Source organism: Homo sapiens, chromosome 1 (assembly GCF_000001405.40).
Source record: "Homo sapiens chromosome 1, GRCh38.p14 Primary Assembly".
NCBI lineage: Eukaryota > Metazoa > Chordata > Mammalia > Primates > Hominidae > Homo > Homo sapiens.
In genome coordinates, this window is record NC_000001.11 from 1,443,488 (window position 1) to 1,470,355 (window position 26,868).

At 55.8% G+C, this 26,868-nt stretch overlaps 1 protein-coding gene across 1 annotated transcript, besides 4 other annotated features; it reads left to right on the forward strand.

The window, feature by feature from the left end:
* Window positions 1-6,201: 6,201 nt before the first annotated feature.
* ATAD3C (ATPase family AAA domain containing 3C) lies at window positions 6,202-26,676 on the forward strand. Its single transcript, NM_001039211.3, has 12 exons — window positions 6,202-7,271; window positions 8,559-8,635; window positions 8,878-8,947; window positions 10,858-11,013; window positions 11,973-12,032; window positions 12,304-12,429; window positions 12,738-12,862; window positions 13,642-13,693; window positions 15,674-15,744; window positions 17,263-17,430; window positions 19,113-19,221; window positions 24,897-26,676. The coding sequence occupies exons 1-12, from the start codon at window positions 7,197-7,199 to the stop codon at window positions 25,041-25,043; spliced, it is 1,236 nt and encodes a 411-aa protein (NP_001034300.2). The 5' UTR covers window positions 6,202-7,196; the 3' UTR covers window positions 25,044-26,676.
* Window positions 11,092-11,591: an enhancer, noted in NCBI's record as "H3K4me1 hESC enhancer chr1:1389959-1390458 (GRCh37/hg19 assembly coordinates)". NCBI's record gives its function as "activates a minimal SCP1, AML or CMV promoter by ChIP-STARR-seq in naive H9 embryonic stem cells {active_cell/tissue: H9 hESC(naive)}" and the evidence as "EXISTENCE:reporter gene assay evidence [ECO:0000049][PMID:30033119]".
* Window positions 18,139-18,913: an enhancer, noted in NCBI's record as "H3K4me1 hESC enhancer chr1:1397006-1397780 (GRCh37/hg19 assembly coordinates)". NCBI's record gives its function as "activates a minimal SCP1, AML or CMV promoter by ChIP-STARR-seq in primed H9 embryonic stem cells {active_cell/tissue: H9 hESC(primed)}" and the evidence as "EXISTENCE:reporter gene assay evidence [ECO:0000049][PMID:30033119]".
* Window positions 18,999-19,078: an enhancer, noted in NCBI's record as "active region_21". NCBI's record gives its function as "activates an Ori minimal core promoter by ATAC-STARR-seq in GM12878 lymphoblastoid cells {active_cell/tissue: GM12878}" and the evidence as "EXISTENCE:reporter gene assay evidence [ECO:0000049][PMID:35858748]".
* Window positions 19,099-19,158: an enhancer, noted in NCBI's record as "active region_22". NCBI's record gives its function as "activates an Ori minimal core promoter by ATAC-STARR-seq in GM12878 lymphoblastoid cells {active_cell/tissue: GM12878}" and the evidence as "EXISTENCE:reporter gene assay evidence [ECO:0000049][PMID:35858748]".
* Window positions 26,677-26,868: the final 192 nt, after the last annotated feature.

The following is a 26,868-nucleotide window of genomic DNA, read 5'->3' on the forward strand; positions in this document are numbered from 1 at the left end:
CCTGCCTCAGCCTCCTGAGTAGCTGGGATTACAGGTGCCACCATGCCCGGCTAATTTTTGTATTTTTAATAGAGACGGTTTCACCACGTTGGCCGGGCTGGTCTCGAACTCCTGACCTCAGGTGATCCAACCGCCTCAGCTTCCCAAAGTGCATGGATTACAGGTGTGAGCACCCTGCCTGGTCCCTTTTTTTTTTTTTTTTTTTTTTTTTTTTTTTTTTTTTTTTTTTTTTTTTTTTTTGAGACAGGATCTCACTCCTAGGCTGGAGTGCAGTAATGTACTCATAGCTCACTGCAGCCTGCATCTCCCAGGCTCAAACGATCCACCTCAGCCCTCCGAGCAGCTGGGACTACAGGCGCACCCCGCCACGCCCAGCTAATTTTTGTATTTTTAGTAGAGATGGGATTTTGCCGTGTTGCCCATGTTTGTCTTGAACTCCTGGGCACGAGTGATCCACACACCTCAGCCTCCCAAAGTGCTGGGATTACAGGTGTAAGTCACCACTCCTGGCAACATTTTTTTTTTTAGGGATAAGGGTCTTCCTGTTACCCAGGCTGTTCTCAAACTCCTGACCACAAAGGATTCTCTTGCCTTGGCCTCCCTCAGTGCTGGGACTGCAGACAGGAGCCACCGCGCCTGGCCTGGCACTGCTGCTTTCGTTTGCCTCTCGAGAATCAGTGCACTTTGAGGAGTGCTGGCAGGGGCTGATGGCTTTCAGGGAGCCCTATGGAGAACTGGGAGCCCTGCTTTTGGTGGGTGGTTGGGGCGGACCAGTAGCCCAGGGCCATACACTGGGGGCCGTGGCTCAGGAGGGTCCAGTTGGGCAGCTCTTCTTTTGGTTGTGCGAGGACCTGCCCATTGGGGAAGGAGCAGGGGGCCCATGCTGGCCCAGGCTGAGACCAGAACGAGTGGGGAAGGAGCAGGGGGCCCATGCTGGCCCAGGTTGAGACCAGAACTACTGGGTCATTTTGGAAGCTGGAGAGAAGGAATAGGAATGGGACCTGCCCCTCCCTCCTGAAGGCCGGGCCCCCGAGAAGAATGAGGCTGCAGAGTGATGTGGGGGCCAGCGGTGACTTCATGACCACACTGCGCCCAGGTGTAAGAGGGCACGCTTCTGCCCAGGCATCGTCCATGGAAGACACGCAGTCGGCCACTGCAGCCTCGGTCCTGGGTGCCCTGGGGCTGGGTCACTGGGGGCCACAGGCCACACTGAGAGACCACAGTCCTGGCATGCCATGCAGCTCCCTGTCCCCAGAGGTCTGCTCAGATGCAGAGAGCTCAGGAACCACACTCGCTGCCTGAATTCTGGGAGCAGAGCGTGGTACCCACTGCCTGGCTGGGGCCTACTCTGGGACTGCAGCCCCTGTCCCCGCTGGCCCAGGCTTCCGGAGGCAGCTGCGTCCCTGTCTTGGCTCAAGGTCAGGCCGGAGGCCAGGCTGTCCACCTGCATCTGGAACCTGCACAGTCACTCCTCCAGGTCCTCGCTGCTGGAGGACTCTCAGACAGGAAACCTTTGCTTTGGGGGCAGGGTGGGGTGCAGGGGTGGTCGGGGGAATCACAGCAACGAGACAGCACAGTGCCATGGCGCAGAGCCTCATATTGGTCGATGAAACAATGCTTTCTGAACTTTGTGTCCTTAGGAAGGGTGTAGGCTGTTGGTTGAAGTAGGAAACAGAAGAGGAGCCTGGGCACGCAACGGTCCCATCGGAGAGCAGACCCCTCGGCCTGGGCACGCAACGGGCCCATCGGAGAACGAGACCCCTCGGCCTGGGCATGCAACGGGCCCATCGGAGAGCAGACCCCTCGGAGCTGCAGTGCTTGGAGGGAGGCTGTCTACCTCTGCGCGCTCTCTCCATTTCTCTCTTTTTCCTTTTAGAGATGGGTTCTTACTCTGAGCCCAGGCTGGAGTGCAGTGGTGTGATTATAGCTCACTGCAGCCTCGACCTCCCAGGCTCAAGTGATCCTCCTGCCTCAGCCTGTCCAGTAGCCATACCCTACTAGGCCCTAATTAGCCCCAGAGGCGTGCACCACCACGCCCGCTAATGCTAAAAATTTGTTGTAGAGACCGAGTCTTGCTATAATGCCCAGGCTGGTCTCCAACTCTTGGCCTCAGGAGATCCTCCCGCCTCTACAGGATGAGCCACCAAGCCTGGCCTCAATTCCTCTTTAAAGGAATTGCCTAAATCTTAAACCAGCAATCAATACTTTGTATTTAAAATTAAGCCAGGTTAGACTGGGCTAGGTGGCTCACGCCTGTAATCCCAGCACTTTGGGAGGCTGAGGCAGGTGAATCACAAGGTCAAGAGTTGGAGATCAACCTGGCTAACATGGCAAAACCCCGTCTCTACTAAAAATACAAAAAAATTAGCCGGCATGGTGGTGGGTGCCTGTAATCCCAGCTACTCGGGAGGCTGAGGCAGGAGATTCGCTTGAACCCAGGAGGCGGAGGTCACAGTGAGCCGAGATGGAGCCACTGCACTCCGGCCTGGGCAATGGAACTGTTTAAAAAAAAAAAGAAAAAAAAACCTTGATGGAGCCCAGCACGGTGGCTCACGCCTGGAATCCTACCACTTTTGGAGGCCTGGGCAGGTGGATCTCCTGAGCTCATGAGTTTGAGAACAGCATGGCCAACATGGTGAAACCCCATCTCTACAAAAAATACAAAAGAAAAATCCAGGTGCCGTGGCTCACTCCTGTAATCCCAGCACTTTGGGAGGCTGAGGCGGGTGGATCACCTGAGGTCAGGAGTTCGAGACCAGCCCGGCCAATGTGGTGAAACCCTGTCTCTATTAAAAATACAAAAATTAGCTGGGGCGTGGTTGCAGGTGCCTGTAATCCTAGGTACTCGGAGGCCGAGGCAGGAGAATCACTTGAACCCAGGAGGCAGAGGTAGCAGTGAGCCAAGACCCCGCCATTGCACTCCAGCCTGGGCAGCAAGAGTGAAACTCCGTCTCAAATATAAAATAAAAATTAGCGGTGCCTGGTGGCATGTGCCTGTGGTCCCAGCTTGTTGGCTTAGCTAGGAGGATCGCCTGAGCATGGGAGGCAGAGGTGACAGCCGAGATCACACCACTGCACTCCAGCCTGGGTGACAGAGTGAGACCCTGTCTCAAAATAAATTAAAGAATAAAAATAAAACCAAACCCTTGATGATGGCCATGGCGAGGGGTGGGGATGGGGTCGGTGGGTGGGGGTACAGCTGGGGAACTCATTGGGTTTTTCTCCTCTCCTATTTTTTGGTACAGACGGGGTCTCTCTTTGTTGCCCAGGCTGGTCTCCAACTCCGGGGCTCAAGCGATCCTCCTGCCTCGGCCTCCCAAAGTGTTGGGGTTACAGGCCTGAGGCACCGCGCCCGGCCTGTTTGTTGTTTTCAGACGGAGTCTCACTCCGTCGCCCAGGCTGGAGTGCAGTGGTGAGATCTCGGCGGCTCACTGTGTTTTATGTAAATTTTCGGTGTCGCAAAAGAAGTAGCACTCGAATGTTAATTTTTCTCAGCTGCGAAATTTACTTCTATAGAAGGGGGCGTCTCATAGCTGGAGCAATGGCGAGCGCCTGGACAAGGGAGGGGAAGGGGTTCTTATTACTGACGCGGGTAGCCCCTACTGCTGTGTGGTTCCCCTATTTTTTTTTTTTTCTTTTTGAGACGGAGTCTCGCTCTGTCACCCAGGCTGGAGTGCAGTGGCACAATCTCGGCTCACTGCAAGCTCCACCTCCTGGGTTCACGCCATTCTCCTGCCTCAGCCTCCTGAGTAGCTGGGACCACAGGTGCCCGCCACCATGCCCAGCTAATTTTTTGTATTTTTAGTAGAGACAGGGTTTCACCGTGTTAGCCAGGATGGTCTCCTGACCTCGTGATCTGCCCATCTCGGCTTCCCAAAATGCTGGGATTACAGGCGTGAGCCACCGCGCTCAGCCTTTTTTTTTATTTTTTATTTTTGAGACGGAGTCTTGCTCTGTCACCGAGGCTGGAGTCCAGTGGCACGATCTTGTCTCACTGCAACCTCCGCCTCCTGGGTTCAAGTGATTCTCCTGCCTCAGTCTCCCGAGTAGCTGGGACTATAGGCACAGGCTGACACACCCGGCTAATTTTGTGTATTTTAGTAGAGACGGGGTTTCACCATGTTGCCAAGGCTGATTGCAAACTCCTGAGCTCAGGCAATCCACCCGCCTCGGCCTCCCAAAGTGCTGGGATTACAGGCATGAGCCACTGCACCTGGCCTACGATGATAACTTATAGCAAACTTTACTTTTGCTGAAAACCTTGCGAGTTTGGGATTTTAATTATCCTTTGCTATTAATAAGACTTCATTCAGTCTAATATATATATTTTTTAATGTATAAGCCACTTCAGGCCGGGCGCAGTGGCTCATGCCTGTAATCCCAGCACTTTGGGAGGCCGAGGCGAGTGGATCACGAGGTCAGGAGATCGAGACCATCCTGGCTAACATGGTGAAACCCTGTCTCTACTAAAAATACAAAAAATTAGCCAGGTGTGGTGGCAGGCACCTGTAGTCCCAGCTATTCGGGAGGCTGAGACAGGAGAATGGCGTGAACCCGGGAGGCGGAGCTTGCAGTGAGCCGAGATAGCGCCACTGCACTCCAGCCTGGGCGACAGAGTGAGACTCTGTCTCAAAAAAAAAAAAAAAAAAAAGCCCAGTTAAAAGGCATACTTAGAATTGGTATAGATGGTTCCTTCCTGGTTCTGTAAGTACTTTGAGGCTTGGCTGAGTGCAAACAGCTCTCATGCTTGAGCAGACCAGTTATTAGGAAACTTTCTTAACTCTATTTTTTTATTTTTTATTTTTTGACACGGAGGTCTTACTCTGTCACCCAGGCTGGAGTACAATGGCGTGATCTCGGCTCATTGCAGCCTCCACCTCCTGAGTTTAAGCGATTCTCCTGCCTCAGCATGCTGAGTAGTTGGGATTACAGGTGCTTGCCACTACGGCCAGCTAATTTTTGTATTTTTAGTAGAGATGGGGTTTCACCATGTTGGCCAGGCTGCTGTCGAACTCCTGACCTCAGGTGATCCTGACCTCAGGTGATCCACTCGCCTCAGCCTCCCAGAGTGCAGGGATTACAGGTGTGAGCCACAGAGCCCGGCCTCTTAACTCTATTTCCACAAGAGTTTTTCCTGTTAGTTACTGATTACCCATTGTGTCTTTTTCCTCGAATCACCTGGGAGGAACTATCTTTAAATAAGTGTCGTCCTGTAATGCACTACGGCCGTCTGTGGGTTACCACATTAAGGATAGTTGTCAGTGGCCTCCATGCCTTTCGGTAAGTTGTTTTTTTTTTTTTTTTTGAGACAGAGTCTCATTCGTCGTCGAGGCTGGAGTGCAGTGGCACTGTGTCGGCTCACTGCAACCTCTGTCTTTCCTGGGTTCAAGCAATTCTCCTGCCTCAGCCTCCTGCATAGCTGGGATTGCAGGCATCCACCACCGCACCCGGCTAATTTTTTGTATTTTTAGTAGAGACAGGGTTTCACCATGTTAACCAGGATGATCTCCTGACCTCCTGAACTGCCCGCCTCGGCCTCCCAAAGTGCTGGGATTACAGGCGTGGTGAGCTGCCACGCCGGGCGTACTCTGGCTTTTAAAAGAATGGGGCACATTGCTTTTTCTTGACTACTTCTATCTCTCCTTTTCTCTCTCTCTCTAACTCTGTCTCTCTCTCTCTCTGGCTCTCTCTGTCTCTTTGACTCTGTCTCTCTCTGTCTGTCTCTGTCTCACTCTCTAACTCTGTCTCTCTCTCTGACTCTGTCTCTGCCTGTCTCTCTCTCTCTTTGACTCTCTCTCTCTCTCTGACTTCCTCTGTTCCCTCTGTCAGTCTTTCTCTCTCTTTGACTCTGTCTCTCTGACTCTGTCTCTCTCTCTCTCTGACTCTCTCTCTCTCTCTGACTTTCTCTGTTCCTTCTGTCAGTCTTTCTCTTTCCTCTAAGATTTTTTTCCCTTTCTCTTAGAATCTCTTCTACAGGCTTATTTTTCTAGTTCTTTCTTTTGTAATTTGTGGTTAATATCTGGCCAACTGTTAGTGACAAATTCCTTGCCCAAGAGGATCCTCGACACCTCGACCAGCATATTTTCTCATTTGTTCTTTTAATCTGTCTAAAAATTATGTCGCAGGCCCTTTATCTTTTCCTTGCTGTATGTTAAATATTCGGGTAAGATTCTGGGTTCCGGGCATGGATTCTTTAATCCCCTTCATGATTAACTCCCCAAGGTCCTGCATATTTTCTCAATGGGCCACCGCGCCCGGCCAGAAGATTTTTATGGTAAAATTTTGTGATGGGAAAACTCATCCCGGAAAATGTTGAGACCTGATGCTGAGTCCTCAGCAGCTCAGAGAATACGTACTTCTGTCCCAGGTCACCCAAACATTGACCTGTGTCGGTTCCCCACTAGGAACAAAATGTAACTGAGGACGTTGTCAGATGCTTGTCCTCGTCACCCTGAGCTTGTTGGCTGCTATCTAATTCTTATTCTTTCATTTTCTTGCCCGCACGTTCTTGATAGCAGATCACTGACAACAGCCATTGGAAGCTTAGGAAAAGGGTATGTGCCGGGCGCGGTGGCTCACACCTGTAATCCCAGCACTTTGGGAGGCTGAGGTGGGCGGATCACGAGGTCAGGAGATCGAGACCATCCTGGCTAACACGGTGAAACCGTCTCTACTAAAACTACAAAAATTAGCCGGGTGTGGTGGCGGTCGCCTGTAGTCCCAGCTACTCGGGAGGCTGAGGCAGGAGAGTGACGTGAACCCGAGAGGTAGAGCTTGCAGTAAGCAGAGATCATGCCACTGCACTCCAGCCTGGGCCAGAATGAGACTCCGTCTCAAAAAAAAAAAAAAAAAAAGCATGTGTAACGTGAAAAAATGGACACTTTAGCCATCGCCTGACTTTCTGTTGAATTGGGAAAGAGCCTCCTCCCGTCCACATGGGATGGCCTTCCTGATGTGGCTCTCCAAGACCATCCCTGGAGGGCATAAAACCTCACAAATGCATCAGGCCGTGTGCTGGGGATGGGGCATCGTCACGCCAGGTCTGACTAGGAAGGAGGATGGGGAGGCAGGGCTGGGGGCTTTGAGGTCGAGGCGTGGCCGTGGATTCCAGAAAGCCCCTTGGCTGGTGTGCGTGCCTGCCCAGCGGCATCCGTGTATCCTAACACCTGCCCTCCGTGTCCCTGCATCTGCAGGCCATGTCAAAGGACGCCCTGAATCTGGCGCAGATGCAGGAGCAGACGCTGCAGTTGGAGCAACAGTCCAAGCTCAAAGTGAGTGGGGCCGGTGTGGGCGGGGAGGCCGGGGCACACATGGGGTTCGGGCGTGGAGATTGGTAGGGCTACTGCCGGTGGGTAGGGCCGGGGGTGTGTACATGGGCAGCAGTGGGGCCCAGGGCCAAGCTTGGGCGCCTCATTTCACAGAAGGAAACAAGGGGAGGTGAGAGACGCTGCCGCAGAGCCGCCCGAGAGGGAGGGCCGGTGTTGGTGAGGGCGTCTGGTCGTCCTGAGGGCCTGGATCTTCTTGACATTCTCACCTCATTTCTTTGACTCAGCAGGATTTTTTTTTTTTTTGAGATGGTGTCTTGCTCTGTCGCCCAGGCTGGAGTGCAGTGGTGCGACCTTGGCTCACTGCAAGCTCCACCTCCCGGGTTCACACCATTCTCCTGCCTCAGCCTCCTGAGGAGCTGGGACTACAGGCACCTGCCACCACGCCCAGCTAATTTTTTTTGTATATTTAGTAGAGATGGGGTTTCAGCGTGTCAGCCAGGATGGTGTCGATTTCCTGATCTCCGCCTGCCTCAGCCTCCCAAAGTGCTGGGATTACAGGCGTGAGCCACCGCGTCCAGCTCAGCAAGATTTTTTAATTTTATTTATTTTGAAACGGAGTCTCACTCTGTTGCCCAGGCTGGAGTGCAATGGTGCGATCTCAGCTCACCGCAACCTCTGCCTCCTGGGTTCAAGCCATTCTCCTGCCTCAGCCTCCCAAGTCGCTGGGATTACAGGCACCCACCACCATACTCGGCTAATTTTTGTATTTTTATTAGAGACAGGGTTTCACCATGCTGGCCAGGCTAGTTTTGAACTCCTGACCTCAAGTGATCACCTGCGTCGGCCTCCCAAAGTGCTGGGATTACAGGTGTGAGCCACGGTGCCCGGCCGGTCACCTTCAGTCCTGAGCTCACAGGCGGGGTTCACGTGTTGCCTGTTGTGGGCATTGTAGCTTTAACGTTTAATTGGCAGAAGACAGAAGCTTCCTTAAGCCCAGCCTGAATCAGGGCAGTGGTGTTGGGAGGTCGGCCAGCAGTGGCCCTTGTCAGGGAAGCCACAGTGGGGGCTGTTTCTGCCGCTGGGGAGTTTGGGCCCCTGAACCCATCCCCTCAGTGACTGCCGTCCCGGCCGATGTCACCCGTGTCTGTGTCAGGGTGCGGCGTCTGCAGGTCCCCAGGTGCCCGGGACGCTTGGAGCCCTGCGGTCCTGGGGCGGACGCAACCTCTGGATTGGTGTTGAGCATTTTTCTGGTTTTAAAGGCTTTTCTCTTTTTCTGCGGCTTCTTCTCAGCAACTTGTCAATGAGGATTTACGGAAGCAGGAGGAGTCCGTGCAGAAGCACCATCAGACCTTCTTGGAGTCCATCAGGTGAGCGCTGCCGAGGCCCGGGCCGGCCGCAGATGGAGCCCCCACAGGTGTGAGTCGCTGGTCCCAGGGTGCTCTCCAGCTCTCCCAGGTCTGGCCGCTGTAGGCTGGCTCCTTGGTGGGGACACTGCCCCCCTGTCCTGGCAGGACCAGGCTGCTGTGTCAAGGCCTCACCCTCAACCTGTTCTTGCTACGTGGCGTGGGTCTTTGTTTCCCTCCTGGTCACACCACTGCTTTCCCCACAGGGCGGCTGGCACCTTGTTTGGGGAAGGATTCCGTGCCTTTGTGACAGACCGGGACAAAGTGACAGCCACGGTAAACATACTCATAAAACAGGGCTGGCAGGTGGCTGAGGGGCAGCATGTGGGGGCCTCCTGGAGCCACAGGTCCTATCCCTGCTGGCTCTGCACAGGTCCTGGCGCTCTCCCAGCATGGAACAAGCCCAAACTGGACCTGCTGGTGGGAGCCGCTCCTCCCTCCTTGAGCTGGGAGAAGAAAATGCAGTTGCCAGTCTGGGCCACACAGTGAGATGCCATCTCTACACATGGCACGTGCTTGTAGTCCCAGCTACTCAGGAGGCAGAGGTAGAGAATCACTTGAACCCGGGAGGCAGAGGTTGCAGTGAGCCAAGATCCTGCCATTGCACTCCAACCTTGGGACAGAGCGAGGCTCCTTCTCAAAAAAAAAAAAAAGAAAGAAAGAAAGAAAGAAAAAACAGAAGGCGACCCTGACTCCATTTTGCAAAAACCCTCTTTATTCCTCAGAAAACCCTGAGAGTTTGAAGTTCACAGATTCCTCTCTCCTTTAAAGCCTCACTCTTTTGTGCCCAGGCTCCGGCCTGCTGTGGTGGCGCCCCACGTCGCACATGGCTGTGTCCTCCGTCCCCCCACCCCGCCCAGCACACAGTAGGTCCCCGGCACTGAGTGGGCACTTGCTCTGCCGTGGTGCCAGCACCCAGAGCTGTGACTGCAGCGCCTGCCGGTGGCCTGGTCAGTGTGACGGTGAATGTTGCAGGTGGTGTTGCCGCCATGTTGGTGAGACGGTGTCACCTGAGGACATGACAGAGCTGCTTAATGCACTGTTGACTTTTGTTTGTATTTAGAGACAGGCTCTCACTCTGTCTTCCAGGCTGGAGTGCGGTGGCGCCACCTCGGCTCACTGCAACCTGCGCCTCCCGGGTTCAAGCGATTCTCTTGCCTCAGCCTCTCGTGTTGCCAGGATTACAGGTGCAGGTCACCATGCCTGGCTAATTTTTCTATTTTGGTGGAGACAGGGTTACACCCTGTTGGCCAGGATGGTCTCGAACTCTTGATCTCAGGTGATCCACCTGCCTTGGCCTCAGAAAGTGCTATGATTACAGGTGTGTACCACCATGCCCGGCCAATTTTTGTATTTATAGTAGGGGTGGGGTTTTACCATGTTGGCCAGGCTGGTTGCGAACTCCTGGCCTCAAGTGATCCACCCATCTTGGCCTCCCAAAGTGCTGGGATTACAGGGATGAGCCACCAGGCCTGGCATAAACCATTTTTTTTTTTTTGAGATGGAGTTTCCCTGTTGTTGCCCAGGCTTGAGTGTGACGGCGCAGTCTGGGCTCACTGCAACCTCCGACTCGCGGGTTCAAGTGATTCTCCTGCCTCAGCCTCCCAAGTAGCTGAGATTACAGGCATGTGCCATCATGGCCAGCTAACTTTTTGTATTTTTAGTAGAGACGGGGTTTCTCCATGTGGGTTAGGCTGGTCTTCAACTCTCGACCTCAGGTGATCCACCTGCCTCAGCCTCCCAAAGTGCTGGGATTACAGACCTGAGCTACTGTGCCCAGCCGGCCTAATTGATTTTTAAAACGAGTTAGAGATTTTGGGTTAGTCTTGTTTTCCAGGAATAAAGTACCATTTTTAGTGGCCAAGAATGTACCGAGGGTGTGGCCCTGTGACATATCCAGCTGGGTCTGCCCAGGGCCCCGCTCAGCGACCAGAGCTTTGTAGGATTTATGCTACCAGTTGCAGAGAAAATGGCCCTGAGTGAGGGCGCTGTGACTGCCCCACCTGCCTCCTGTAACCGCGTGGCTGTGGGATTCGGGGCTGGGAATTCGGGTTCCTGTGGGGCCAGCACACGGCCCTGTGCTTCTCCCTCAGGCGGAGAGAGGGTGGGGGCAGCCCCGTGCGTCTCCTGCTCTAGGAGGGAGGGACGGTGGGGGCCGGTGCGCCAGTGCGGTGTCTCTGCTGCAGGTGGCTGGGCTGACGCTGCTGGCTGTCGGGGTCTACTCAGCCAAGAATGCGACAGCCGTCACTGGCCGCTACATCGAGGCTCGGCTGGGGAAGCCGTCCCTAGTGAGGGAGACGTCCCGCATCACGGTGCTTGAGGCGCTGCGGCACCCCATCCAGGTAGCGGCGCAGGCCTGGCCCTCCCTGAGTGCAAGTGCCTGGCTGAGTCCCTTCTGCCCCACGAGCACAGCCCACGCATATACTCCTGTCCCTTCCCTTTCCCCGGATAACAGGCACCCGCACGCTGCTTCACGGGTGGGTTTTCCTGTCTGGCGCTGTACCTTAGGGGTCTGCATCAGTGAGACCCTTCCCCTGTCTGCCTCGGTGTCCCCTGCTCAGGGCTCTTGATGGGGCCTGGGAGCACATCGGGGTCCTTGCAAGACCCGGGATTTGGGTGTGCGGCCGTCTGTCGGGGAAGCTGCTACAGGCCACAGTGTCTGGCGGCCTCCCTGGGGAGCCGCGCCGTTTGCCAGCCCCCAAGGTGCCTGCTCTCCACACGGGGGTGGCAGTGTCTCCACAGGTCACTCGGTGGGTGGTTAAGAAAATAAAAGCTGGCCGGGCGTGGTGGCTCACACTTGTAATCCCAGCACTTTGGGAGGCCAAGACAGGTGGATCATGAGGTCAGGACATCGAGACCATCCTGGCTAACACAGTGAAACCCCATCTCTACTAAAAAAATACAAAAAATTAGCCGGGCGTGGTGGCGGGCGCCTGTAGTCCCAGCTACTCGGGAGGCTGAGGCAGAAGAATGGCTTGAACCTGGGAGATGGAGCTTGCAGTAAGCAGAGATCACGCCACTGCACTCCAGCCTGGGCGACAGAGTGAGACTCCGTCTCAAAAAAAAAAAAAAAAAAAAAAAAAAACCCAGAAAAAAGAGAAGCCGATAAGAAACCGGAAAATGCCCCCAATCCCTGCAACAGACACCCAGTCTCCCGGCGGGGCGGGGTTCCAGCTCCAGGCCGGTCCTGGCTGTGATTCGGGGCAGCTCCGTTTCTGCGTGTTACCGAGCTTGTGTGTGCGTTGGTGGCTGTTCCGTGGCTGTGGCAGGTGACCCAATGGTGCTTCCCCTTCCCCTCCAGCAGGTCAGCCGGCGGCTCCTCAGTCGACCCCAGGACGTGCTGGAGGGTGTTGTGCTTAGTGTAAGTCGGTGTGCCTGGGACCGGGGAGGCGCAGGGAGGGGACCCCGGAGCTGGGCTGGGCTGTGGCCCTTGCTGGCGCTCCTGGTGGCGCCCAGGATCTTTTGGGTCCTGAGATGCGACTGCTTGGACCGTGCCGGGGATAGATAGGCTGCCCACGAGCTGGGTGGCTCCCCGGAGAGCGGAGTCCACACCCAGGCATTCTCGCAGCCCCTGCCCCCGAGGCTTCTGTGGGTGCAGACTGTGTCCTCCAAGCCCCTGTCTTCCTCGGCAGCCCAGCCTGGAAGCACGGGTGCGCGACATCGCCATAATGACAAGGAACATCAAGAAGAACCGGGGCCTGTACAGGCACATCCTGCTGTACGGGCCACCAGGCACCGGGAAGACGCTGTTTGCCAAGGTGAGAGTGCCTAGCTGAACAGGTGGGCCAGGGGCCGCTGGGGTCTCACCTGCCTGCAGGTGTCTGGGGGGCTCAGCTGCCTGGGGAATGGACCCCCCTTAGGCCTTTGCCCACCCTCGTGTAGGCTCAGGGTGCTGGTGTGGGCAGCAGCGCCTCCCATCTTCCAGGCGGGGGACGTCTCCTGTCTGGCAGGCTGTGGCTTCCAGGCAGGGACGCTGGGCAGAGCCTCCACACTCCGGGTGGAGTGTGCAGGCTTTGCAGAGGCGGAGGGAACATCTGTTCTGTCTCCCCTCACTCTTCTTGTCCAGAAACTCGCCCTGCACTCAGGCATGGACTACGCCATCATGACAGGCGGGGACGTGGCCCCCATGGGGCGGGAAGGCGTGACCGCCATGCACAAGCTCTTTGACTGGGCCAATACCAGCCGGCGCGGGTGAGACGTCCCCACAGCATGCACCAGGCCCTTGGCTGCGGCCCAGCAGGCTGCCTTCTGGGAAGGGGGTCCAGGTGTCTCTTGGGGACCCTGTCTTTCTGCAGCTCTGTCCTTGTGGCCACGCAGGAGGCCCAGTGGAGGGTCCCTCGGAGGGAAAGTCCCCTGAGTGTGGACCCTGGTGGACACGAGGCCCCCAGCGTGTGGAGGCTGCCAGTGGGATACTTGGCTCAGGGCAGAAGGGAGGTGGGTGGGTGCAGGGGGAGAGGGGTCTTCACAGCTGCAGGGGAGGCTCCTCCACAGCCGCCCTCCCCCCAACACGCCTGCAGGTGGGCGTGGGCACTGGTTGCCTTTTCTAGAACCATTTGAAAGTTAGCTGAAGACAGCATGGCACACTCCCTTCAATAGGTCCCACAGTGACCCCGCGCAGGGCACAGCCCGGGCACCCTTGTGGCCTCGGCTGTCCTCGTTGGAACCACGATGCTCATGGTTGGCACCCTCCCCTCTGGCCTTTGACCTTTCACTTTAGAAGACCTGTCCCTGGTGTGGACTCTAAGCGGCCACCAGCGCTGCACTGGGCTGAGTGGGGGTGAAGCCTGCGGGGCAGAGTCTGCTTCTGTCGGTGGATCAGCTTCTGTCAGGTCCAGGACTTAGGGCTCCGTGGGGCAGAGCCTGACCCCGTGGGGATCTGCCTGCTTGGCCTGCTCCTGCCATGGCCGGACGCCGCTGTGGGCTGCTCCTGGCATCACTCTCACCCAGCTTGGCCTCCCTCTCGTCCACAGCCTCCTGCTCTTTGTGGATGAAGCGGACGCCTTCCTTCGGAAGCGAGCCACTGTGAGTGTCACTAAGCCTCTGTCTGGCCACAGGAGGGTGGTGGGGTGTGTGCGGCTGTCATCCTGGGCCAGGCCGCAGCCCACTGCTCAATTTCTTTTTCTCTAAGTTTTGTGTGAAAAACACAGCATTTTTGGCCAGGTGTGGAGGCTCACGCCTGTAATACCAGCACTTTGGGAGGCCGAGGCAAGTGGATCACGAGGTCAGGAGATCAAGACCATCCTGGCTAACACGGTGAAACCCCGTCTCTACTAAAAATACAAAAAAAATTAGCTGTGCGTGGTGGCGGGCGCCCGTAGTCCCAGCTACTCGGGAGGCTGAGGCAGGAGAATGGCGTGAACCCGGGAGGCGAAGCTTGCAGTGAGCCGAGATCGTGCTGCTGCACTCCAGCCTGGGCGACACAGCGAGACTTCATCTCAAAAAAAAAAAAAAAAAAACAAAAAAAACAGCATTTTTTTAGGTCAGCTTAAAGTTAAGGTTTGGCTTTTGAGTGTTTTTTGTTTTGTTTTGTTTTGTTTTTGAGATGGTGTCTTGCTTTGTTGCCAGAGTGGAGTTCAGTGGCGTGATCTCGGCTCACTGCAACCTCCGCCTCCCAGTGCAAGCGATTCTCCTGCTTCATCCTCCCAAGTAGCTGGGATTATAGGCATCCGCCACCACACCCAGCTAATTTTTGTATTTTTAGTAGAGATGGGGTTTCACCACGTTGGCCATGATGGTCTAGATCTCTTGACCTTGTAATGCCCCTGCCTCAGCCTCTCAAAGTGCTGGTATTATAGGTGTGAGCCACTGCACCCGGTCTATTTTTATTTTTATTTATTTGAGACAAAGTCTCACTCTATCCCTTAAGCTGGCTTGCAGTGGCGCAATCTTGGCTCGCTGCAACCTCCGCCTCCTGGGTTCAAGCTGGTCTCCTGCCTCAGCCCCCTGAGTAGCTGGGATTACAGGTGTGTGCCACCACATCCAGATAAGTTTTTTGTATTTTTAGTAGAGATGGGGTTTCACCATGTTGGTCAGGCTGGTTGAGAACTCCTGACCTCAAATAATCTGCCCGCTGCTGCCTCCCAAAATGCTGGGATTACATGCGTGATCCACCACCCCCAGCCATACAGTTATTATTTTAAGACAGGGTCTCTGTCGCCCAGGCTGGAGTGCAATGGCGCGATCTTGGCTCACCGCAACCTCCGCCCCCTGGGTTCAAGCAGTTCCCCTGCCTCGGCCTCCCAAGTAGCTGGGATTACAGTCATGTACCACCACACCCAGCTCATTTTGTCTTTTTTTTTTTACTAGAGACTGGGTTTCTCCATGCCGGTCAGGCTAGTCCCGAACTCCCGACCTCAGGTGATCTGCCTACCTCGGCCTCCCAAAGTGCTAGGATTACAGGCGTGAGCCACCGCGCCAGGCCCCAGCTAACTTTTTTGTAATGTTAGTAGAGATGGAGTTTCCCCTTGTTGCCCAGGCTGGGCTCGAACTTCTGAGCTAAAGAGATGCTCTTGCCTTGACCTTCTGAAGTTCTGGGATTACAGTCATGAGCCCCCACGCCCAGTCAGGGTTTGTTTTTTTTTTTTGAGACAGTCTCACTCTGTCGCCCATGCTGGAGTGCAGCGGTGCCATTTCAGCTCGCTGCAACCTCTGCCTCCCAGGTTTAAGTGATTCTCGTGCCTCAGCCTCCCACGTAGCTGGGACCACAGGTGTGCCACCACGCCTGGCTAATTTTTGTATTTTTAGTAGAGACGGGGTCTCACCATGTTGGCCAGGATGGTCTCAAACTCCCAACCTCGTGTGATCTGCCTGCCTCAGCCTCCCAAAATCCAGGTTACATTCGTGAGTCACCGCCCCTGGCCCTGGTCAGGCTTTTGAGTCTAGATCCGTGAAAGTGTCGCCATGTCCCTGCTCCCTGCAGGAGGGAGGCCTGTGGGACTTTCTGCTGTGGCTGTTTACAAGGCTTTGCTCCTGGTGCCTAAGGCTGGAACCTTCTCTCTGCAGGAGAAGATAAGCGAGGACCTCAGGGCCACACTGAACGCCTTCCTGTACCGCACGGGCCAGCACAGCAACAAGTGAGGGAGCCCCTCGGGTCCTGGGCCCCCGGGCAGGGCTGTGCAGCCGTCACCCTTGGTTCCCACCGAGGGACCTGAGGGGCCCTGGCTCACAGTGCTGGGCAGCTGCCGTGGCCTCAACGTGCCCACCTTGGATGTCCCCTGGGAACGGCCCAGCTCAGGACAGCACGGGGTGTCACTGAGGAACATGCGGGGGCCTCCCGGGCAGAGCTGGGGTCAGTCCTGTCCTCACGGCCCTGTGCACCGCCGCCCCAGCTTGCAGGTCCCTCTGCCCCTAGGTTTCTGCGGTCCTGTGCCTGCAAGGGAGGTGGTCTCATCGTGTGAGGCTCTGCTGGGTCTCCCTTGGAGGGTGTGTGTGCCCTGGGGTGGGAGATGGAGACAAGTTTGCTCCCACGGGAAGTTGGACACCAGCAGGTCCTGTGTGTCGGGGCGGAACCTGGGACCTTGGTCCCCCGCCCGGATGCTGGCCAAGGGTGCACCCTCCAGGCTTGGGGCCCACCCGACTTTGTGTGGCCTCTGTGGGCTGCCGCCCAGATGTCCCCCATAGGGTGACCGCCCCATGGCCAGTCTCCCTAGTCCCTCCCAAGTCCCCTAATTTTGAGTTTTCTTGGTCTCCTGGGTCCCTCCAGCCCCAGTCACGTGTCACATGGAGGATCAAGTCCTGCTGGTCGGCCGTGGCTGACTCCTCAGGCACGTTGGGCTCCTGGGTCAGCTGCTGCCGGTAGACGCTCCCTGGAGCCCTGACTCGGGTCCTTCCCAGAGAGGCAAGGCTGGGGCCCTGCTGAGCCTCCAGTGAACCCGGGCCCCCGAGGTCCTGCTCCTGGCTCGCGTGGCAGTATTTTTTTTTTTTTTTTTTTGAGATGGAGTTTTTGCTTTTTCTGCCCAGGCTGAGGTGCAATGGCGTGATCTTGGCTCACTGCAACCTCCACCTCCTGGGTTCAAGCGATTCTCCTACCTCAGCCTCCCAAGTGGCTGGGATGACAGGCGTGCGCCACCACACCCGGCTGATTTTTTGTATTTTTTCTTTTTTAGTAGAGATGGGGTTTCACCATGTTAGTCAGCTGGTGTTGAACTCCAGACCTCAGGTGACCCACCCGCCTCGGCCTCCCAAAGTGCTGGGATTATAGGCGTGAGCCACTGCGTCTGGCCAGCGTGGCCACAATCTTGACATGGACTCTGGGTCCCGCATCCCTGCTCCCAGCACAGCGGGGCTCAGGTAGCAGGAGGGAGTGGTGTTCCCGGCACTGCCTATCAGGCTGGGCGACGGTCAGCGGGGAAGTACCACACGGGGCAAGAACAGAGGCCCAGGAAGCCGGGCAGGGGGACAGCTGGGCGTGGTGGGGCAGGCAGGCGGGTGACCATGGCTGTGGCTGCGTTCTCCCCATGTTTCCTGTGCTCACAAGCTGCCACTTTAGATTCTCCCAGAAAGTCTTCCTGAGGGGGCTGAGGAGCACCTGTTCCCCTGGGGACAGCTCGGCCGGCAGCCCCAGCGTTTCCTTCCCCATCCCCGCCCCGCAGATTCATGCTGATCCTGGCCAGCTGCCACCCCGAGCAGTTCGACTGGGCCATCAATGCCTGCATCGACGTGATGGTCCACTTCGACCTGCCAGGGCAGGAGGAGCGGGCGCGCCTGGTGAGAATGTATCTTAACGAGTATGTTCTTAAGCCGGCCACAGAAGGAAAGCGGTAAGTGTCCCGCCCCACCAGCCCCCGTCCAGGGGCCCTCGCTCAGGGTCCACCCCTGCTCCTGTTCTCCGGACACACCCAGCAGGCCCTGTCTCCAGGATGGGCACCACCTCCCTGCCCTGCGGTTTCGTGCAGGAGCCCTGTGGGCCCCAAGGGTCCCAGAGGCCGCATCCAGGGAGGTCCTGCCACCCTTTCCTCATCCCCACCTGAGAACAGCCTGGTGGCGTGTCTTCTGGTTTGGAGGCACAGTCCACTATCACTTACAAACCTTTAACATTTTTTTTTTTGAGGCGAAGTCTCGCTCTTGTCCCCCAGGCTGGAGTGCAGTGGCACGATCTCAGCTGACTGCAACCCCTGCCTCCTGGATTCACGCGATTCTCCTGCATCAGCCTCCTGAGTAGCTGGCATTATAGGTGCCCACGACCACGTCTGGCTACTTTTCGTATTTTTTGTGGAGATGCGGTTTCACCATGTTGGCCAGGCTGGTCTTGAACCCCTGACCTCAGGTGATCCGCCCGCTTCAGCCTCCCAAAGTGCAGGGATTACAGATGTGAGCCACTGTGCCCGGCCTCTTTTACGTTCCTCTTCACTACGCGGAGAGCTGTGAGGAAATCCTGTACCTGGCCACCCCCAGACCCTGGCAGTGAGGGGAGGTGACGTGGAGTGTTGCTCTGAGACCCCCATGTCGGAATTCGAAGGAGAGTCTCCTCATGAGACCCCCATGTAGGGACTGGAGGGAGAGGCTCCTCATGAGACCCCCATGTAGGGACTGGAGGGAGAGGCTCCTCATGAGACCCCCATGTAGGGATTGGAGGGAGAGGCTCCTCATGAGACCCCCATGTCGGGACTAGAGGGAGAGGCTCCTCATGGTCCACTGCTGGCTTCTGGCCTGGCCTCCCTGCAGCTGCCACACCCGGCCCTGGAGCCTCGTGGTGTGGGGCGCGGCTCTTGCTTCCTGCTGCACATGTGCCTTGAGGCTGTCAGGCTCCCTGTTGCTGGCGGTGGGTGCAGCAGGCACGGTGGGCAGAGCCCTCCAGGTGATGAGGGGCCCTGGCGCCTCACACTGGCTGCCTCGGGAACACTCCAGATGAGCAGAGGCTGCTCTACTTCTTGGCGTCCCCAGGGCCCCGGTTTCTGAGTCCTTCTGTGCACCTGACCCAAATCCCTGCTGTCGCCAGTGACGACAAAAGCTGCTCTGTTCCAAAGAGAGCCTGGTTCTCCCCTGCCGACCCCTCCACTGCCGCCTGCTCCATGCTAGACCAGCTTTCCGGGTCTCAGTTTCCCTATGCCCTCCCCTTCCCTGGGCTCCCCGACACCCATGGCTGCTCGTAGCTCTGGCACCATGACCTGGCTTCTGTGGCCTCCAGGCAGAAGCTTTTTTGCTAGAACTCAGGGCTCTGCCACTGCCAGTTTAACGGCCATGCGCCCTGTGGGTGCTGAGTGGACAGGGCTGGTGTTAGGAAGGGGTGCGGCCATCTCCAGGCCCCACAGCCGCCCCCTTCCTGCTCAGCCCAGGCCTGGCTTGCGTCAGGAAGGGGGCGGAACTTGGCTGTCACAGGTAGAGAGTCCCTCTCAAGGGGGCATCTGGCATGGGTGTCCGCCTGGCTGCCTGTCTTCCGGCCTCCACCTCGTGGTGTGGGAGCTGCTGCCTTGGCCGGCCCACTTGGGAACTCCTTCCCCAGGCGTCTGAAGCTGGCCCAGTTTGACTACGGGAGGAAGTGCTTAGAGATCGCTCGGCTGACAGAGGGCATGTCATGCCGGAAGATCGCACAGCTGGCCGTGTCCTGGCAGGTGAGTCAGGCTCGGGTGCACCCACCCAGATGGAAGCCCAGCTGCTGTGCAGATGCTTGGTTGCGCCAGGCCTGTCCCAGCACCGGTGTCACGTGGGAGCTTCTGTTGAGGGGTTTTCAGTGCACAGATGTGACACGGGGCCCCTGCCCCAGTTGGGCCACTCCACGCAGCAGCGTGCACCTGCTCCAGCAAGAAGGGTGGGGCCATGTCAGTGGCTGACGGTCACAGGTCAGGAAGCCAGTGCGGCCTCCTAGTAGCCCGGGCTCTGCCAGGTGGGGCGGGAGGCTTCTGATGCTCACCTTGGCAGACAGGCACCCCCCAGTGTGAATGGTCATCAGGACAGGCCCCTTGTGAGTTTGGTGGTGGGGGTGGAGGGACGTTGTGTTTCTTGGACCAAGTCCATTGGCTTGGTCCTGCTTGACGGGCCCAGACACATGGGTGGGAGTTGTGGCCTCTGATTGTCCCACAGCCAGTTGTTTCTCAGGGGCACCCCTCCTGCAGCTCCATGGCTGCCCCAGGGCCAAGGAGCTGGGACTCACAGGAGTGTGGGCACGGCCATCCAGAAAGCTTTGGTCTTTGGGGGTTGCTGGAAAAGCAAAACCAGGTCTGTGGGGCAGAAGGCACCCTGGCCATGCACAGGCATCGCTGCCTCTGGGGTCCACAGAGTCTGTGTGACAATCTGGTCACTCGATCTAGCAGCACATTATGTGTGACAGCTTAATGAAGTAGCCAACTACCTTGATTTGAACGTAGGAGCCGGGGTATGTAGGGAGCTGTATTAGTCAGTACAGGCTGGGTTATGCCGCTGTGACAAAGAACCCCAGATCTCAAACCCCGTCCTTCTGGGTCAGCTGAGGTCTCTGTTCCAGGCCATCCCCACTTGGGACCAGGTCTGTTTCCACAACTAAGAAAGCAGAGGCCGGGCATGGTGGTGGCTGATGCTTGTATTCCCAGCATTTGGGGAGGTCAAGTCAGCCAGATTATTTGAAACCAGGAGTTCAGGACCAGCCTGGAAAGCAAGTCAAGAACCCATCTCTACAAAAAATAAAAAAAATTAGCTAGACCTAGTGGTGCATACCTGTGATGCCAGCTGCTTGGGAGGCTGAGGTGGGAGGATCACTTGAGTCCAGGAGGCGGAGGCTGCAGTGAGCTGTGATTGTGCCACTGCACTCCAGCCTGGGTTACAGAGTGAGACCCTGTCTTAAAAAATAAGAATAATTTGGTCATGGCTTATGCCTGTAATCCCAGCATGCTGGGAGGCCAAGGAGAGAGAATCACTTGAGGCCAGGAGTTCGAGACCAGCCTGGCCAACATGTCGAACTCCACCTCTACTAAAAATACAAAAATTGGTCGGGCATGGTGGTGGTGCATGCCTGTATTCTCAGCTACTCGGGAGGCTGAGGCAGGAGAATCGCTTGAACCCAGGAGGTGGAGGTTGTGGTGAGCCGAGATCGTGCCACTGTACTTCAGCCTGAGCAACAGAGTGAGACTGTCTCAAAAAAAAAAAAAAAAAGAACAGGAGTGTGGTCGACTGCTGGGCCTGCCATAACCACTGGGGCGTGTGTGCCCACAGCTCTGAAGGCTACAGGCCCAAGGTCAGGGTGCCAGCTCGGTCCCTCCCTGTGGAGTGTTCTTTGCTGGGTCCTCATGTGGCAGAGAGAGCAACTCAGCTCTCTCTGGTGTCCCTTATAAGGACACTCATCCTGCACTGCTCACAGCGGTGGTGGTGAGCCAACACGCCCAGCACCAACTTTGTCCTTCAAGAGTTTTTTTCTTTTTGTGCCGGGCACGGTGGCTCACGCCTGTAATCCCAGCACTTTGGGAAGCTGAGGTGGGTGGATTGCCTGAGGTCAGGAGTTCAAGACCAGCCTGGCCAACATGGTGAAACCCCGTCTCTACTAAAAATACGAAACTTAGCTGGGCGTGGTGGTGTGTGACTGTAATCCCAGCTACTCAGGAGGCTGAGGCATGAGAATCACTTGAACCCTGGAGGCGGAGGTTCCAGTGAGCTGAGATGGTGCCATTGAACTCCAGTCTGGGCTATTCAGGATCCCTTGAGATTCCATATGAATTTTAGGAATGGTTTTCCTATTTTTGTAAAACATAATTGAGGTTTTCACAGGGATTGCATTTAGTCTCTATGTTGCTTTGATGTCTCTCAGCAATATTGTGTGGTTTTCTCTTTTTGTCTTTTTGAGACTGAGTCTCGCTCTGTCGCCCAGGCTGGAGTGCAGTGTTGCGATCTTAACTCACTGCAACCTCCGCCTCCCGGGTTAAAGTGATTCTCCTGACTCAGCCTCCTGAGTAGCTGGGATTACAGGCACGCGCCAACATGCCCGGCTAATTTTTGTATTTTTAGTAGAGACGGGGTTTCACCATGTTGGCCAGGCTGGTCTCGGTCTCCTGACATGAGGTGATCTGCCCGCCTCAGCCTCCCAAAGTGCTGGGATTCATTCAGGTGTGGGCCACGGAGCCCGGTCAGTTTTCACTGTGCAAGTCTTTCACCTTCTCGGTCAAGTGAATTTCAAAGTATTTTATTCTTTCGGATGCTATTGTAAATGGAAATGGTTTCATAATTTCCCTTTCAGATTATTCATTGTGGGCCAGGCGCGGTGGCTCATGCCTTTAATCCCAGCACTTTGGGAGGCTGAGGTGGGTGGATCACAAGGTCAGGAGATTGAGACCATCCTGGCTAACATGGTGAAACCCCATCTCTGCTAAAAATACAAAAAATTAGCCGGGCGTGGCGGCAGGTGCCTGTAGTCCCAGCTACTCGGGAGGCTGAGGCAGGAGAATGGGGTGAATCCTGGAGGCGGAGCTTGCAGTGAGCCGAGATCGTGCCACTGCACTCCAGCCTGGGCGACAGAGCAAGACTGTCTTTAAAAAAAAAAAAAAAAAAAAAAAAAGATTATTCATTGTTAGTATGTAGAATTGCAGCTGTTTTTGCTGTTGATTTTGTATCCTGTAACTTTGCTGATGTCACAGGGTTGTTTTTTCCAATATGGATTCTAGGATTTTCTACATATAAGATTATATCATCTGAGAACAGGTGATTTTACCTCTCCCTTTTCAGTTTGGATGACTTTTCTTTTTCTTGTCTAATGGCCCTGGCCACAACTTCCAGTGGTATGTGGAATAGAAGCAGTAAAGCATTCTTGCCTGGTTCCTTACTCAGAGGAAAAGCTGCCAGTTTTTCACCACTGAGTATGTCACCTGTGGGCTTGTGATATATGGTCTTCATTGTGTTTAGGGCGTGTCCTTCAATTCTTGGTTTGGTGAGTGTTTTTATCATAAAAGTGTGAGGTGGGTGGATCACCTGAGGTCGGCAGTTCGAGGCCAGCCTGACCAACATGGAGAAACCCCGACTCTACTAAAAATACAAAATTAGTTGGGCGTGGTGGTGCATACCCATAATCCCAGCTACTTGGGAAGCTGAGGCAGGAGAATCGCATGAATGCGGCAAGCAGAGGTTGCGGTGAGCCGAGATCCTGCCATTGCACCCCAGCCTGGGCAAGAAGAGCAAACTTCTGTCTCAAAAAAAAAAAAAAAAAAAAAATGGCTGGGCGCGGTGGCTCACGCCTGTAATCCCAGCATATTGGGAGGCTGAGGCGGGTGGGTCATGAGGTCAGGAGACTGAGACCATCCTGGCCTGGCTAACATGGTGAAACCCTGTCTCTACTAAAAAATATAAAAAATTAGCTGGGTGTGGTGGCGGGTGCCTGTAGTCCCAGCTACTCAGGTGGCTGAGGCAAGAGAATGGCGTGAACCCGGGAGGTGGAGGTTGCAGTGAGCCGAGATGCCTGGGTGACAGAAGGAGATGTCATCTCAAAAAAAAAAAAAAAAAAAAAATTGTATTTGGCCAAATGTTTTTCCTGCAACAGTTGAGAGGGTCATGTGGTTTCCTTCCTCCACTCTGCTAATATTGACTGATTTTTGTATGTTGAACATTTTGTATGTGGAACATTGATTGATTTTCATATGTTGAACTGTCCTTGCATTCCAGGAATAAATCCTGCTTGGTCAGGGTGTGGAATCCTTTTATTATACTCCTGAATTCGTTTTGCTGGCATTTTCTTGACGACTTTTCCAACGATGCTCATCAGGGATATTGGCATGTCATTTTTCTTGTGGTGTCTTTGGCTTTGATATGAGGGTAATGCTGGCCTCTTAGGATGAGTGAGGAAATGTTCTTCAATTTGTCCAAGAGTTTGAGGAGTGGTACTGATTCTTCTTAATGTTTTGTGAATTCACATGTGAAGACATCAGGTCCAGGTCTTGTCTTTCAACTTTTATAGTTTGAAGATTTTAGGTTCCCAGAAAAGTTGCAAGAGTAGCACAGAGACTTCCTGGGCCTGGGACCTTGCCACGTGGTGAACATCATGTGTCACTGTTGGACCCACCCGCGACCAGGTTTTGCCCCAGAATCCCACCCAGGAGGCCACGTGACATTTAGCTGTCACTTCTGGTGGGCTCCTGCCAGGTCCCGTGCTTCCTGGAGGGGTGGCTCCGTGAGCATCTGCTCACCCCCTTTCCTCTGCTGGGCCCTGGGTGAGGTGCAGCCACTCGGGTGGACCCTGAGGGTCCCTGCACCTGTTTGCCCTCTCTTGGGTGGGCTCAAGACCAAAAATGATGTTGAGCAGTCCTGGGCCCCTGAGCCACAGTGGCGGTCCGGCTCCGGTCAGTGTCTCCTGCGCTCCCGGGCCCCCGACCCACAGTGGTGGTCCGGCTCCGGTCAGTGTCTCCCCACACAGTGGCTCTTGGTGAGGGATGGGCGCTGGCAGAGGGGACGGGCACCACGTGGTCATCCCCATGGCAGGTTCTATCGTGGTGACGGTGTTGTGGGAGGATGGTGTGCTGCTGCCCCTGCACCCCGTGAGATGAATCCTGCCTCTGGGAGGCATAGCTGGGATGGGGCTAGGGACCCGCTCAGCTGTCCGGGAAGGGTCCCCTGCCCTGTGCTTCCTCCAGGCGTCCTGGTGCGCTCTTGAGCATGGCGCCCAGTGGGGGTCCCCACACCCTCACCCTGACCCATGGGTGCCTCCCCTTGGGGACTCCATGCCCTTTGCTGGCATTGGGATGGAGAGTGACCTGTCCATGGCAGAAGGGCTGGACCTGAGGCTGCCTGAAGCCACACCAAGGGCCACAGCCCCAGCAGCTCCAGCCTTCACATGCTAGATGCCAAGCCCTGTGCCCAGGAGGACAGGGAGGTGGGGGCAGAGGTGGCCTTGGTGCCACCAGCCACGTGCCTCAAGGTGGGCAGTGGCTGCCTCTGCCCTGGAGGCCTGTGAGGGTCAGGGTCTGAGGGTCTGAGGTGCACTATGACCCGGGGGCACTGCCTGACCACGGCTGAGACACGCAGAGGGTCTGCAGTTCCCACCTGCCTCTGGGAAGCTGCCCTGGGTCGGCCGTCAGTGAGGCTCCGCCTTGGGCTTTCTATTAGAAAGTCATTGAGCAACATTGGTGCTGAGGACGCAGGCAGGGCTGTGGGCACTGCAGGGGCTGCCCCCGGTGTCCACACACGTGCTGGGCTCTGCCGAGGTGCGGGTAGCCTGTGTTTCACGCTCAGGCCATCCTGGAGCCCCTGGTTTGGTCCCTCCCCACCTCAGGGCCCTGGCGTGCATTTGGGGTGGGGGGTTCCCATGGCGGCCTCCCTCAGCTCCCTCTCTCCCCACTAGGCCACGGCGTATGCCTCCAAGGACGGGGTCCTGACCGAGGCCATGATGGACGCCTGCGTGCAAGACTTTGTCCAGCAGCACCAGCAGATGATGCGCTGGCTGAAGGGGGAGAGGCCTGGGCCCGAGGACGAGCAACCCTCATCCTGAGTCCATGGGGAGACCACACCTCACGGAGCCTGGCCGCGGACCCCTCCCACCCCTGCCTTTGCGGCCCCGCACATTTAGGAAATACTCCCCGTAATAAAGTCCCACGGGGGCCGCACCGCTGTGTCTATTGGCTGACACGGGGCGGGGTTTGGGGCCCCCTAACGTCCCCCTGGGGTCAAAGGTGACAGAAAAGGCAGAAGCTGGGGCTTTCTGGAGGATTTAACCACAGAGGGGTGGGCTTCACAGGAGGTGGCTGCCACGGCGGGGCCGGGTGCCCGTGCCCCATCCTGAGGCCGTGCATACGCGGGTGCCCCTTCGCCTCCCTCCCCTCCGCCAGAGCTGCCTGTGGCCAGACACACGGTGGAGGGAAGTGCACGCGAAACAGACACAGCGGCTTCAAATAGATGCCGCCCCTGCCCGCGCTTTGCAGCTAGTCCCTGCAAACCTTGATGATGGGGCTGGGCGCGGTGGCTCACGCCTGGAATCTCAGCGAGGCCAAGGAGAGTGGATCACCTGAGGTCGGGAGTTCCAGACCAGCCTGGCCAACATGGTGAAACTCCATCTCTCCTAAAAAAAAAAAAAAAAAAAAAAAAAAAAAAAAAAAAATTAGCCGGCCGTGGTGGCAAGTGCCTGAAATCCCAGGTACTCAGGAGGCTGAGGCAGGAGAATCACTTGAGCCCGGGAAGTGGAGGTTGCACTGAGCTGAGACCATGGAATTGCACTGCAGCATGGGCAACAAGAGTCAAACTCCCTCTAAAAAAAAAAAAAAAAAAAGGGCCAGGTGGCACATGCCGGTGGTCCCAGCTTCTTGGCTTGGAGGCTGAGGTAGGAGGATCGCCTGAGCATGGGAGGCAGAGGTTGCAGTGAGCCAAGATCGCACCATTGCACTCCAGCCTGGATGATAGAGTGAGACTGTACCTCTAAATAACCAAAACCTTGATTACAGCCATGGGGTGGGGGTGGGGGTCAGGGGCGTCTGACTATGGCTGGGGAACTCATTTGGTTTTTCTCCTCTCTTATTTTTTTGGGTAGAGACAGGGTCCCTTTGTTGCCCAGGCTGGTCTCCAACTCCTGGGCTCAAGCAATCCTCCTGCCTCGGCTTCCTAAAGTGTTGGGATTACAGGCTTGAGCCACCGTGCCTGGTCTGTTTTTTTTTTTTTTTTGGCAATAGAGTCTTGCTCGCCCAGGGTGGAGTGCAGTGGTGTGATCTCGGCTCACTGCAACCTCCACCTTCAGGGTGTCAGGCCTCTGGGCCCAAGCTAAGCCATCATATCTCCTGTGACCTGCACTTATACATCCAGATGGCCTGAAGCAACTGAAGATCCACAAAATAAGTGAAAAGAGCCTTAACTGATGACATTCCACCATTGTGATTTGTTTCTGCCCCACCCTAGCTGATCAATGTACTTTGCAATCTCCCCCACCCTTAAGAAGGTTCTTTGTCATTCTCCCCACCCTTGAGAATGTACTTTGTGAGATCCATCCCCTGCCCGCAAAACATTGTCCCTAACTCCACCGCCTATCCCAAAACCTGTAAGAACTAGTGATAATCCCACCACCCTTTGCTGACTCTCTTTTTGAACTCAGCCCGCCTGCACCCAGGTGAAATAAACAGCCTTGTTGCTCACACAAAGCCTGTTTGGTTGTCTCTTCACACAGATGCACATGACACAGGGTTCAAGCAATTTTCATGCCTAAACGTCTGGAGTAGCTGGGATTACAGGCGCATGCCACCATGCCCAGGTTAATTTTTGTATTTTTGGCAGAGACGGGGGTTTCACCATGTTGGCCAGGCTGGTCTCAAACTCCTGTTTTCAGGTGATCT

Coding starts and splice junctions, on each gene's coding strand:
- ATAD3C (NM_001039211.3), top strand. CDS start 7,197: ATGTCAAAGGACGCCCTGAATCTGGCGCAGATGCAGGAGCAGACGCTG. Junction 13,694..15,673: donor TCCTTCGGAAGCGAGCCACT/GTGAGTGTCACT, acceptor TTCTCTCTGCAG/GAGAAGATAAGCGAGGACCT. Junction 17,431..19,112: donor CCGGCCACAGAAGGAAAGCG/GTAAGTGTCCCG, acceptor CTCCTTCCCCAG/GCGTCTGAAGCTGGCCCAGT.